At 41.5% G+C, this 13579-nt stretch overlaps 3 annotated features.

The window, feature by feature from the left end:
• Positions 454-1298: an enhancer, noted in NCBI's record as "OCT4-NANOG-H3K27ac hESC enhancer chr4:167636733-167637577 (GRCh37/hg19 assembly coordinates)". NCBI's record gives its function as "activates a minimal SCP1, AML or CMV promoter by ChIP-STARR-seq in naive and primed H9 embryonic stem cells {active_cell/tissue: H9 hESC(naive and primed)}" and the evidence as "EXISTENCE:reporter gene assay evidence [ECO:0000049][PMID:30033119]".
• Positions 1299-2142: an enhancer, noted in NCBI's record as "OCT4-NANOG-H3K27ac hESC enhancer chr4:167637578-167638421 (GRCh37/hg19 assembly coordinates)". NCBI's record gives its function as "activates a minimal SCP1, AML or CMV promoter by ChIP-STARR-seq in naive H9 embryonic stem cells {active_cell/tissue: H9 hESC(naive)}" and the evidence as "EXISTENCE:reporter gene assay evidence [ECO:0000049][PMID:30033119]".
• Positions 6341-7221: an enhancer, noted in NCBI's record as "OCT4-NANOG-H3K27ac hESC enhancer chr4:167642620-167643500 (GRCh37/hg19 assembly coordinates)". NCBI's record gives its function as "activates a minimal SCP1, AML or CMV promoter by ChIP-STARR-seq in naive and primed H9 embryonic stem cells {active_cell/tissue: H9 hESC(naive and primed)}" and the evidence as "EXISTENCE:reporter gene assay evidence [ECO:0000049][PMID:30033119]".

A 13579-nucleotide genomic window follows, 5' to 3' on the forward strand; every position in this document is an offset into this window, starting at 1 on the left:
GTCCAAATAATCAAATTAATAGGTTATTCTCTCAGAAATTATCTCAGCATTAGGATGACTCTTTAGTCATGTTAGAATTATAATATTTCCTTGAAATAAATAGTTCTTCTTAGGTTCAATTTCTGTTCATTAGGTTTCAAAGTATAAGACAATGTCCCTAAAACAGATGAACAGATTCTTATCTTTGAGCTGTGTAATGAATGGAAAGTATCATAGCTGTCAAGGGATGCTGAAGCATCCACGTGGGACTGGCAATTGATTTTTCCAGTGAAACAGCACTGAGACATATTTGAGTTTATCAAAGCATTTCAGAGTAGACCTCTTTAGGGTTTAGTGTGATCCACAGAGTAAATACTATCAACTATCACATTTGTCAAATCTCTACTGATGGAATTGATCATTAATACTCTTTAGTTTTTTCAAAACACACTTGCATTTTAACGAATTCTGTTTTCTGTAATACTTTTCTAACTCTCCAAACCTGAACCATTCTTACACAGCTCTCCATTAAAGTATTTCCAGAACTCAGCAACTATCAGACTTAACTTTTCGTAACTGGTTCAATTGCCAGCCCCTCTTCCCCATCTCAAGCTCTAGCTCACTGTCATCCTACTCTGCATTATGGTGTCCCTTTAGCATTACAAGCTGTTTGCTTTCTGCCTAATAATTTCATTTCTTAACAAGTGCTCAGCATCAGCTATATCTAGTGGTGGTGTTTATTGCTGTGATTTAAAAAAGAGTAAGCCATTCTCCTCATGTCTGTGAGATTGATATGCAAATTATAGCTACATTCCAACATTCCATGAGAGTGGGGTGAGTTCCATGAGTAAGGGGTGAAAGGTGTTATAACTCATGGTGAAAATACAGTGAAGGAGCAGACTAACTGTCTAAAAAGGGGTAGTAGTTCATGGGAAAGGCTTCATGGCTAACATGAGACTTGAGCGGAGTTTAATTTTTTATTTGCTTGAAAATTTTTTGCTTTCTTGCCATATCTAGTGTCAGGCCTCTGAGCCCAAGCCAGGCCATTGCATCCCCTGTGACTTGCATGTATAAGCCCAGATGGCCTGAAGTAACTGAAGAATCACAAAAGAAGTGAATATGCCCTGCCCCACCTTAACTGATGACATTCCACCACAAAAGAAGTGTAAATGGCTGGTCCTTGCCTTAAGTGATGACATTACCTTGTGAAAGTCCTTTTCCTGGCTCATCCTGGCTCAAAAAGCACCCCCACTGAGCACCTTGCGACCCCTACTCCTGCCTGCCAGAGAACAAACCCCCTTTGACTGCAATTTTCCTTTACCTGCCCAAATCCTATAAAATGGTCCCACCCTTATCTCCCTTTGCTGACTCTCTTTTTGGACTCAGCCTGCCTGCACTCAGGTGAAATAAACAGCCATGTTGCTCACACAAAGCCTGTTTGGTGGTCTCTTCACACGGACGCGCATGAAATTTGGTGCCGTGACTCGGATCGGGGGACATCCCTTGGGAGATCAATCCCCCGTCCTCCTGTTCTTTGCTCCGTGAGAAAGATCCACCTACGACCTCAGGTCCTCAGACCGACCAGCCCAAGAAACATCTCACCAATTTCAAATCCGGTAAGCGGCCTCTTTTTACTCTCTTCTGCAACCTCCCTCACTATCCCTCAACCTCTTTCTCCTTTCAATCTTGGCACCACACTTCAATCTCTCCCTTCTCTTAATTTCAATTCCTTTCATTTTCTGAGACAAAGGAGACACATTTTATCCGTGGACCCAAAACTCTGGCGCCGGTCATGGACGGGAAGGCAGACTTCCCTTGGTGTTTAATCATTGCAGGGACACCTCTCTGATTATTCACCCACATTTCAAAGGTGTCAGACCACGCAGGGACGCCTGCCTTGGTCCTTCACCCTTAGCGGCAAGTCCTGCTTTTCTGGGTTAGGGGCAAGTACCTCAACCCCTTCTCTCCTTGTCTCTACCCCTTCTCCCCTTTTCTGGGAGAGGGGCAAGTACCCATCAACCCCTTCTCCTTCACCCTTAGCGGCAAGTCCCACTTTTCTATGGGGCAAGAACCCCCAATCCCTTATTTCTGCACCCCAACCTCTTATCTCTGTGCCCCAATCCCTTATTTCTGTGCCCCAACCTTGTATCTCTGCACCCCAATCCCTTATTTCCACACCCCAACACCTTATATCCCTGTGCCCCATCCCTTATTTCTGTGCCCCAACCTCTTATCTCTATGCCCATTCCCTTATTTCCGTGCCCTGACCCCTTTTTTCCATGCCCCGACCCCTTATTTCTGTGCCCCATCCCTTATTTCCATGCCCCGACCTCTTATCTCTGCGCCTCAACCCCTTTTCCCACTTTTCTGGAAGGTAAGAACCCCCAAACCCCTTCCCTCCATTTCTCTACTCTCTCTTTTCTCTAGGCTTGCTTCCTTCACAATGGGCAACCTTCCACCCTCCATTCCTCCTTCTACTCCCTTGGCCTGTGTTCTCAAAAACTTAAAACTTCTTCAACTCACACCTGACCTAAAACCTAAATGCCTTATTTTCTTCTGCAATGCCGCTTGACCCCAATACAAACTTGACAGTAGTTCCAAATAGCCAGAAAATGGCACTTTGAATTTTTCCATCCTGCAAGATCTCAATAATTCTTGTCGTAAAATAGGCAAACGGTCTGAGCTGCCTGACATCCAGGCATTCTTTTACACATCAGTCGCTTCCTAGTCTCTGTGCCCAGTGCAATTCGTCCCAAATCTTCCTTCTTTCTCTCCCGCCTGTCCCCTCAGTACCAACCCCAAACGTCGCTGAGTCTTTCTAATCTTCCTTTTCTACAGACCCATCTGACCTCTTCCTTCCTCCCCAGGCTGCTCCTTGCCAGGCTGAGCTAGGTCCCAATTCTTCCTCAGCCTCCGCTCCTCCACCCTGTAATCTTTTTATCACCTCCGCTCCTCACACCTGGTCCGGCTTACAGTTTCGTTCCGTGACTAGCACTCCCCCTCCTGCCCAGCAATTTACTCTTAAAAAGGTGGCTGGAGCTAAAGGCATAGTCAAGGTTAATGCTCCTTTTTCTTTATCCCAAATCAGATAGCGTTTAGACTCTTTTTCATCAAATATAATAATCCAGCCCAGTTCATGGCTCGTTTGGCAGCAACCCTGAGACACTTTACAGCCCTAGACCCTAAAATGTCAAAAGGCTGTCTTATTCTCAAAATACATTTTATTACCCAATCTGCTCCTGACATTAAATAAAACTCCAAAAATTAAATTCCGGCCCTCAAACACCACAACAGGATTTAATTAACCTCGCCTTCAAGGTGTACAATAATAGAAAAAAGTTGCAATTCCTTGCCTCCACTGTGAGACAAACCCCAGCCACATCTCCAGCACACAAGAACTTCCAAACACCTGAACCACAGTGGCCAGGTGTTCCTCCAGAACCTCCTCCCACAGGATCTTGCTACACATGCTGGAAATCTGGCCACTGGGCCAAGGAATGCCCACAGCCTGGGATTCCTCCTAAGCCGCGTCCCATCTGTGTGGGACCCCAGTGAAAATCGGACTGTTCAACTCACCTGGCAGCCACTCCCACAGCCCCTGGAACTCTGGCCCAAGGCTCTCTGACTGACTCCTTCGCAGATCTTCTCGGCTTAGCGGCTGAAGACTGACACTGCCCGATCGCCTCGGAAGCCCCCTAGACCATTACGGACGCCGAGCTTCGGGTAACTCTCACAGTGGAAGATAAGCCCATCCCCTTCTTAATCAATATGGAGGCTACCCACTCCACATTACCTTCTTTTCAAGGGCCCGTTTCCCTTGCCTCCATAACTGTTGTGGGTATTGACGGCCAGGCTTCTAAACCTCTTAAAACTCCCCAACTCTGGTGCCAATTTAGACAATACTCTTTTAAGCACTCCTTTTTAGTTATCCCCACCTGCCCAGTTCCGTTATTAGGCTGAGACACTTTAACTAAATTATCTGCTTCCCTGACTATTCCTGGACTACAGCTACATCTCATTGCCGCCCTTCTTCCCAATCCAAAGCCACCTTTGCGTCCTCCTGTTGTATGCCCCCCCCACCTTAACCCACAAGTATAAGATACCTCTACTCCCTCCTTGGTGACCAATCATGCACCCCTTACCATCTCATTAAAACCTAATCACCCTTACCCCACTCAACGCCAATATCCCATCCCGCAGCACGCTTTAAAAAGATTAAAGCCTGTTATCACTCGCCTGCTACAGCATGGCCTTTTAAAGCCTATAAACTCTCCTTACAATTCCCCCATTTTACCTGTCCTAGAACCAGACAAGCCTTACAGGTTAGTTCAGGATCTGCACCTTATCAACCAAATTGTTTTGCCTATCCACCCCGTGGTGCCAAACCCATGTACTCTCCTATCCTCAATACCTGCCTCTACAACCCATTATTCTGTTCTAGATCTCAAACATGCTTTCTTTACTATTCCTTTGCACCCTTAATCCCAGCCTCTCTTCGCTTTCACTTGGACTGACCCTGACACCCATCAAGCTCAGCAAATTACCTAGGCTATACTGCCGCAAAGCTTCACAGACAGCCCCCATTACTTCAATCAAGCCCAAATTTCTTCCTCATCTGTTACCTATCTCAGCATAATTGTCATAGAAACACATGTGCTCTCCCTGCCAATCGTGTACGACTGATCTCTCAAACCCCCACACCTTCTACAAAACAACAACTCCTTTCCTTCCTAGGCATGGTTAGCATGGTCAGAATTCTTACACAAGAGCCAGGACCACACCCTGTAGCCTTTCTGTCCAAACAACTTGACCTTACTGTTTTAGCCCAGCCCTCATGTCTGCGTGCAGAGGCTGCCGCTGCTTTAATAGTTTTAGAGGCCCTCAAAATCACAAACTATGCTCAACTCACCCTCTACAGCTCTCAGTTTCCAAAATCTATTTTCTTCCTCATACCTGATGCATATACTTTCTGCTTCCCGGCTCCTTCAGCTGTACTCACTCTTTGTTGAGTCTCCCACAATTATCATTGTTCCTGGCCCGGACTTCAATCCGGCCTCCCACATTATTCCTGATACCACACCTGACCCCCATGACTGTATCTCTCTGAACCACCTGACATTCACCCCATTTCCCCATATTTCCTTCTTTCCTGTTCCTCACCCTGATCACGCTTGATTTATTGATGGCAGTTCCACCAGGCCTAATCGCCACACACCAGCAAAGGCAGGCTATGCTATAGTACAAGCCACTAGCCCGCCTCTCAGAACCTCTCATTTCCTTTCCATCGTGGAAATCTATCCTCAAGGAAATAACTTCTCAGAGTTCCATCTGCTATTCTACTACTCCTCAGGGATTATTCAGGGCCCCTCCCTTCCCTACACATCAAGCTCGAGGATTTGCCCCACCCAGGACTGGAAAATTAGCTTTACTCAACATGCCCTGAGTCAGAAAACTAAAATACCTCTTAGTCTAGGTAGATACTTTCACTGGATAGGTAGAGGCCTTTCCCACAGGGTCTGAGAAGGCCACTGCAGTCATTTCTTCCCTTCTGTCAGACATAATTCCTCAGTTTAGCCTTCCCACCTCTATACGGTCTGATAACGGACGAGCCTTTATTAGTCAAATCAGCCAAGCAGTTTTTCAGGCTCTTAGTATTCAGTGAAACCTTTATATACCTTATGGTCCTCCGTCTTCAAGAAAAGTAGAATGGACTAAAGGTCTTTTAAAAACACACCTCACCAAGCTCAGCCGCCAACTTAAAAAGGACTGGACAATACTTTTACCACTTTCCCTTCTCAGAATTCAGGCTTGTCCTCGGAATGCTACAGGGTACAGCCCATTTAAGCTCCTGTATAGACGCTCCTTTTTATTGGGCCCCAGTCTCATTCCAGACACCAGACCAACCTAGACTGGCCCCCAAAAAACTTGTCATCCCTACTATCTTCTGTCTAATCATATTCCTATTCACCATTCTCAACTACTCATACATGCCCTGCTTTTATTTACACTGCCAGTTTACACTGTTTTTCCAAGCCATCACAGCTGATATCTCCTGGTGCTATCCCCAAACTGCCACTGTTAACTCTTGAAGTAAATAAATAATCTTTGCTGGCAGGACTATGCTGAATCTCCTTAGGCACTCTCTAATCAGATGTCCTGAGTCGTCCCAATTCTTAGACATTTTATACCTGTTTTTCTCCTTCTGTTATTCCATTTAGTTTCTCAATTCATCCAAAACCGTATCCAGGCCATCACCAATCATTCTATACGACAAATGTTTCTTCTAACGTCCCCACTATATCACCCCTTACCACAAGACCTCCCTTCAGCTTAATCTCTCCCACTCTAGGTTCCCACGCCGCCCCTAATCCCGCTTGAAGCAGCCCTGAGAAACATCGCCCATTCTCTCTCCATACCACCCCCCAAAAATTTTCGCCGCCCCAACACTTCAGCACTATTTTGTTTTATTTTTCTTATTAATATAAGAAGGCAGGAATGTCAGGCATCTGAGCCCAAGCCAGGCCATCGCATCCCCTGTGACTTGCACATATAAGCCCAGATGGCCTGAAGTAACTGAAGAATCACAAAAGAAGTGAATGTGCCCTGCCCCACCTTAACTGATGACATTCCACCACAAAAGAAGTGTAAATGGCCGGTCCTTGCCTTAAGTGATGACATTACCTTGTGAAAGTCCTTTTCCTGGCTCATCCTGGCTCAAAAAGCACCCCCACTGAGCACCTTGCGACCCCTACTCCTGCCCGCCATAGAACAAACCCCCTTTGACTGTAATTTTCCTTTACCTGCCCAAATCCTATAAAATGGCCCCACCCTTATCTCCCTTTGCTGACTCTCTTTTCGGACTCAGCCTGCCTGCACCCAGATGAAATAAACAGCCATGTTGCTCACACAAAGCCCGTTTGGTGGTCTCTTCACATGGACGCGCATGAAATCTAGGGCTTCCATTTTTTTTGGTAAGAAAATGGATTAAATATTATTTTTTCATAAATTTGCCAAATGCTTTTCTCTATGAAATTACGTATCAAGATCACTTTTGCTTTGTAGTTAAGTATATTGAGGACTTCAGTTAAACACTTGCTTTTATAAAATTATTATTATTATTATTATTAGGAATAGGGTCTTACTCTGTATATCAGGCTGGAATGCAGTGGCATGATCATAGCTCACTGCAGCCTCCAAATCCTGAGTTCAAGCAATCCTCCCACCACAGCCTCCCGAGTAGTTGGGACTATAGGAACATGATATCATGCCCAGCTAATTAAAAAGAATTTTTTTTTTTTTTGTAGAAACAAGGTCTCAGTACGTTGCTCAAGTTGTGTTTTTATAAAACAATTAAAGAAGTCAGACAATTCACATTGTTATACTAGAACTATTGTTATGTAGGTTTGGTGGATTATTTACTAATAGTTTTACTATTGGTATTACTATTACTATTGGTAATTATAGGCTTTATATAAGAATATAAAATAATCAGCCGGGTACAGTGGCTCATGCCTGTAATCCCAGCACTTTGGGAGGCCGAGGCGGGTGGATCACGAGGTCAAAAGATCGAGACCATCCTGGCTAACAAGGTGAAATGCCGTCTCTACTAAAAAATACAAAAAAATTAGCCAGGCATGGTGGTGGGCACCTATAGTCCCAGCTACTCGGGAGGCTGAGGTAGGAGAATGGCATGAACCCAGGAGGCAGAGCTTGCAGTGAGCCAAGATTGCCCAACTGCACTCCAGCCTGGGTGACAGAGCGGGACTCTGTCTCAAAAAAATAAAAAATAAAAAATAAATAAATAAGAAGAATATAAAATAATCACTCGGTATTTTACTTTAACACCCAATCACTTATTTCCTCATTAATTTTATGAAGGAGTTAACTTAGAACTCAATTATATTACAGCATATGCTTTTATGATTAAGCAGGTGGTAATGCTTGGACTTCATGCTCAGTCTGTCAAAAAGAAACTTTCTCCTACAATGAGAAATTAATGTACTTTTAAGGCAACAGCAATTTGTTTATGGCCTTTTCATGCAAGGAAGACATCATTATAGGCTCCATCAATACCAGCACAACTTTGATAGAACCTTCAGCATAATTAGTTTTGAACATATTGAAATTGATAAACAACTTTCCAAGTGTAATTATATTCTATATATTTGCTCATTACATGTGTTGTGGAGGGAAGAATAAAAACTTCAATACGTTTCAAAGTAAGTTCTCTGATTATATAAAAATAAATGTTTGGGTATTTTCTTTCTCTTTATTGTATACGGGCATAGGAAACCATGTGTGTGTGTGTGTGTGTGCACGCGCGCACATGTGCTTTGGAAACTGACTCATAATTTCTAACACTTTGCAAGAAGACAGAAGTAGAAAAGAGAGGTAACAAATATAAATGAGAGGTAACAACCTTCAGCCATTTCTGAGATAGCTAGAACTTGAAGGAAAATAATGAATCAACATGTTTAACAGAAGTTTGAGGGAGTATGGCATAGCATAATCCATTATTTTGCAGCCAGTTGTAAATATCCAAGTGGAAACATTAACAACGTATACCACCATGAAACAAGATGATATTTAGTCATCCTTTTTATTTTTTTGATGAAAAGAAACACAGATGAATTGTTGGAGTGATAGAAACTTTTAAATCAAGGCCTCACCTGGTCGGCAAATCTGATGAACTATTCACTAGCCAACATGCTGCTATATGGAATTGGCAAGATAAAGGAGGGGATCAATTAAAAATAAGTTTTCACAACTTTATTTGAACTGCGTATGTCAAGTGCCATATAACTACTATCAGGATAAAACGGTGTGCTTCACATGAACCATGCTAAAGAAAGACAATTTTCTTCTTCCATTAGAGGGTGGCTAGGGCAATACTTTTGACTAAAGGTGAAAAAGAAAAAAAAAAAGGCCTACGAACATAGTTATTCAATCAAAGAACTTTGAGTTTATTTAATTTGGTAGCCATTGAATACTGCACAGGAGTTTCTGCTAAGTCTAGAGAGCATGACATTTTGGACCCAGGCCACAATTATACTAGCCATTTGTTGTTCACCTCTGGCTCTAGGGACTCAGCTATTTTCTTTTTCTCTTAAAGGGATATCACTATTCATTGAATTCCTTGCAATGCCTCTCCCCATGAAGACCTTTTGGTTAATAGCCTGCATTTTTCACAAACAGTTCCATTTATAATGGCCATTTGCTACGATATGTATGCTATTGGGGTATAGAAATTACAAAGGTCATGAAAATCCAATAGAGGTTCCCCAGATTAATTATATGTATTAATATTATCCTCTTCTCATTTGGGCACTGACAAGTGTAAAATTGACTGATGTGTTTTCTCTTCTTTAATGTGTCATTTTTATTTTCAGAAGTCAGTATTGGAGACACAAAAGACTGCATGGAGCATTACACATCCAGGTGTAGCCGCATCCATAATAATGCATGCATGAGCAATGCCCTAGGAATGCCCTTTGAAAATGATTAATAGAGATGCTATAGTTTAACTAGGTACTACAGAAAGAGCATGCAATATCTATTACATAAATTTAATTTTCATTTTGGGCTTTATTATTTGTCACTTTTTTCCTTGAGCATGAAGGATTGAAATAGACTGTGATATTTATAAATGTTTAACAGATCTTCCTTATAGCATATCCTAGACCGTGTTTTAAATGAACAGCTCTTGGAATGAAGCCCCATCAAAATCCAGGGCTAAAATCAATCTGCCTGAGGTACTACATGAACAGAGTACAGTTGTTTTGGTGAGGCATGACAATATCTTTCCTGGCATTAGAGAGGCTCGGGTTGCAGCCACCCTGGGAAGAATACAACTGAGCTGCTATATCAACTGTGTTTTCACCTTGCAAGATTCTGGATCAGATTCTGGCACAACTGTTCCTAAAATCACACTAGAGGATATGATATCCAGCTGAAACTAGTCATAAAGTCACTTCCTATTAGAGATCATTATAAAGACAACTAGAAACTATTGGCAGTAGTTTGGTACACACTGAACATTCTTCAGAGATATTTGTCAAAGTTTTCTGTATATCCTATGATTTGCAGTTCTTTTTCTTTTTAAAAAAAATATTTTATTTTAATTTCCAGGATACATATGCAGGACGTGCAGGTTTGCTACTCAGGGAAATGTGTGCCATGGTGGTTTCCTGCATCTATCAACCCATCACCTAGGTATGAAGCCCCACATGCATTAGCTATTTATCCTGATGCTCTCCCTCTCACTGCCCTTCCCTGACATGCCACAGTATGTGTTGTTCGCCTCTTTGTGTCTATGTGTTCTCACTGTTCGGCTCCCACTTAAAAGTGAGAACATGTGACGTTTGATTTTTTTGTTCCTGTGTTCATTTGCTGAGGATAATTGCTTTGCACCTTAACCTTGTCCCTGAAAAGGACATGATCTCATTCCTTTTTATGGCCGCATAGTATGCCATGGTGTATATTTACCACATTTTCGTTATCTAGTCTATCACTGATGCGTGTTTTGATTGATTCCATGTCTTTATTATTGGGAATAGTGCTGCAATGAACATATATGTGCATATGTCTTTATAATAGAATAATTTATATTTCTTTGGATATATGCTCAGTAATAGGATTGCTGGGTCAAATGGTATGTCTGGTTCTAGGTCTTTGAGGAATTGCCACACTGTCTTCCACAATGGTAGAACTAACTTACATTCCCACCAATAGTGTAAAAGTGTTCCTATTTCTCTGCAACCTCACCAACATCTGTTGTTTCTTAACTTCTTAATAATCATCATTCTGACTGGCATGAGATGGAATCTCATTGAGGTCTTGATTTGCATTTCTCTAGTGATCAGTGATGTTGAACTGTTTTTTCATGTTTGTTGGTTCAGAATTTCCTTAAATTGATAAGCAACATCAGCAAAGTCTTAGGATACAAAATCAATGTGCAGAAATCAAAAACATTCCTATACTCCAACAATAGACAAGCAGAGAGCCAAATCATGAATGAACTCCTATTCACAATTGCTACAAAGAGAATAAAGTACCCATAAATACAGCTAAAAAGGGAAATGAAGTTCTCCTTTTAGAGAACTACAAACCACTGCTCAAAGAAATCAGAGAGAACACAAACAAATGAAAAAACAGTCCATGCTCATAGATAGGAAGAATCAATATTGTGAAAATGGCCATACCATCCAAAGTAATTTATAGATTCAATGCTATTGCCATTAAATTACCATTGACATTCTTTACAGAATTAGAAAAACCACTTTAAAATTCACATGGAACCCAAAAGGAGCCCATACAGCCACGACAATCCTAAGCAAAAAGAACAAAGCTGGAGGCATGATGATGCCCGACTTCAAACTATACTGCAATTTCCCCCCTATCCAAAAAAAAAAAAAAGGTATTAGGCCTGACACGGTGGCTCACGCCTGTAATCTCAGCACTTTGGGAGGCCAAGGCGGGCAGATCACGAGGTCAGGAGATCGAGATCATCCTGGCGAAACTGGTGTAATCCTGTCTCTACTAAAAATAAGAAAATTAGCTGGGCGTGGTGACGCGTGCCTGTAATCCCAGCTACTCCGGAGGCTGGGGCAGGAGACTCGCTTGAACCTGGGGAGGTGGAGTTGCAGTGAGCTGAGATTGAGCCACTGCACTCTAGCCTGGCGACAGAGTGAGACTCGGTCTCAAAAAAGAAAAAAAAGGCGGGGCGGCGGGGGATTAAAACACAAATAAGAGTTTGCCACTAGCAAAAAAGGAAGAGATAGGTCTTGTAAAGCCATGTTGAAATTGGATGCTGGGTGAACGGCTAGGTTTCCTTACCAGCCAAGTGTCTTAGTCAGTTTGTGCTGCTATAAAGGGTGAGGGTGAGTAATTTATAAAGGAAAGAGGTTTATCTGGCTCACATTCTGCAGGCTGTACAAGAAACATGGTGCCAGCATCTCCTGGTGAGAAAGTCAGATTGCTTCTACTCATGGTGGAGAGGGAAGGAAAGAAGTGCGGGCAGAAATCACACGGCAGGGAAGAAACAAGAGAGAGGGAAGGAGGTGCCAGACTTTTTTCAACAACCACTTCTTGTCGCTCCTACAAGAATCTCACCAAGTCATTGATGAGGGATCCACCCCATGACCCAAACACCCCCAAGCATCCCCCACCACCAACACTGGAGATCAAATTTCAACATGAGACTTGACAGAGCCAAACAGACCATGTTTAAAGCATAGCACCAAGAAAGCAGTTTATTCTCACTTGCCTAGAGTAGGAGTGATTCAAGTTAAAAATGCATTTGTGGCCCTGGAACACTTCAAGTGTATTAAATGCCAAGTGTATGTGGTAATTAACGTAAAATATAATGTAATGTAACTTACTTATACTTATTAATTGACTTCTGTTTCTCCTCACTATAAATTGTCAGCATGCAGTTTTACTTCAAATAATAATCCTTCTAAGTATACCCAATAAAAAATAATACCCAGATGACTCACATGAAAACAAAAATTTATTCAAATTACCTCAAATTTTAGAAAATAAACTAAGATTGACATAGTCACCCATTGCTCTTGTAATTATGAGGTTGACACCAAATACACATTAATCAATCAAATAAAGAGTCTCAATAGTCCGAGATTCACGTGACCAACTGAACCAACCTTGTACAAAATCATTCATTTTTTTTCTTTTGCCAAACGTAACATATACACAATCTATTTTGCTATCGTTTAATTTTATAAGAAGAAAGTAAGGTCCAAATTAGAGGCTTCTTTTGGTTAATTTTTCCACAAACATGTCTTACAGTAAAGGGCATTTTCCCTTTATCTTTTAGCTATATTTCTCCAGATGATCAAATTAGTTGTGAAAAAGTATTGGTTGTTTGGAGTGAAAATGATGAGCACCGGAAACACATTATCCTAAAAGAGAGAAATGTTTAATATTTACATTTCATAGCAAGAAATATTGTACCTGGCTAAAATAAACTGAGAAGTAGTTTACCAATAATGGTCTATTGTCATACTAATATTTACTTATATGATAAAATAAGAGTTCTTAAATTTTTTACAAATGTGACATGATTTGTCACATATTTATTTATACTCCTTAGAACTATTTGAGAATGTGAAATTGTTTTGTCCATACTTCTAATAGTTCCACATCTATTTTTTCATCCCCCCAAAATAATAAATTGTTTTTAAATTACAAGAATGCTTTTTAAAAAAAATTATGTTTTTTCTTTTAAATCTAGTAAGTTCTAAATTACACTTTAATGCAACCTCTGGTAAGCTCTAAAACAGATTTATAGTCTGTAATTATTGTCTTTATTTCCACTCCAGTACTTCTACATCTTACCCCCATGGGGCTAAAAAGAATATTGAAACTTAGCACTATTTAACATACCAATTAAAAAGACACATTAAAAATTATAATTATGGCCAGGCACGGTGGCTCACGCCTGTAATCCCAGCACTTTGGGAGGCCGAGGCAGTGGATCATTTGAGGTTAGGAGTTCAAGACCAGCCTGGCCAACACGGTGAAACCCCGTCTCTACTAAACATACAAAAAATTAGCCAGGAGTGGTGACAGGCGCCTGTAA

Source organism: Homo sapiens, chromosome 4 (assembly GCF_000001405.40).
Source record: "Homo sapiens chromosome 4, GRCh38.p14 Primary Assembly".
In the NCBI taxonomy this organism is placed as follows: Eukaryota; Metazoa; Chordata; class Mammalia; order Primates; family Hominidae; genus Homo; species Homo sapiens.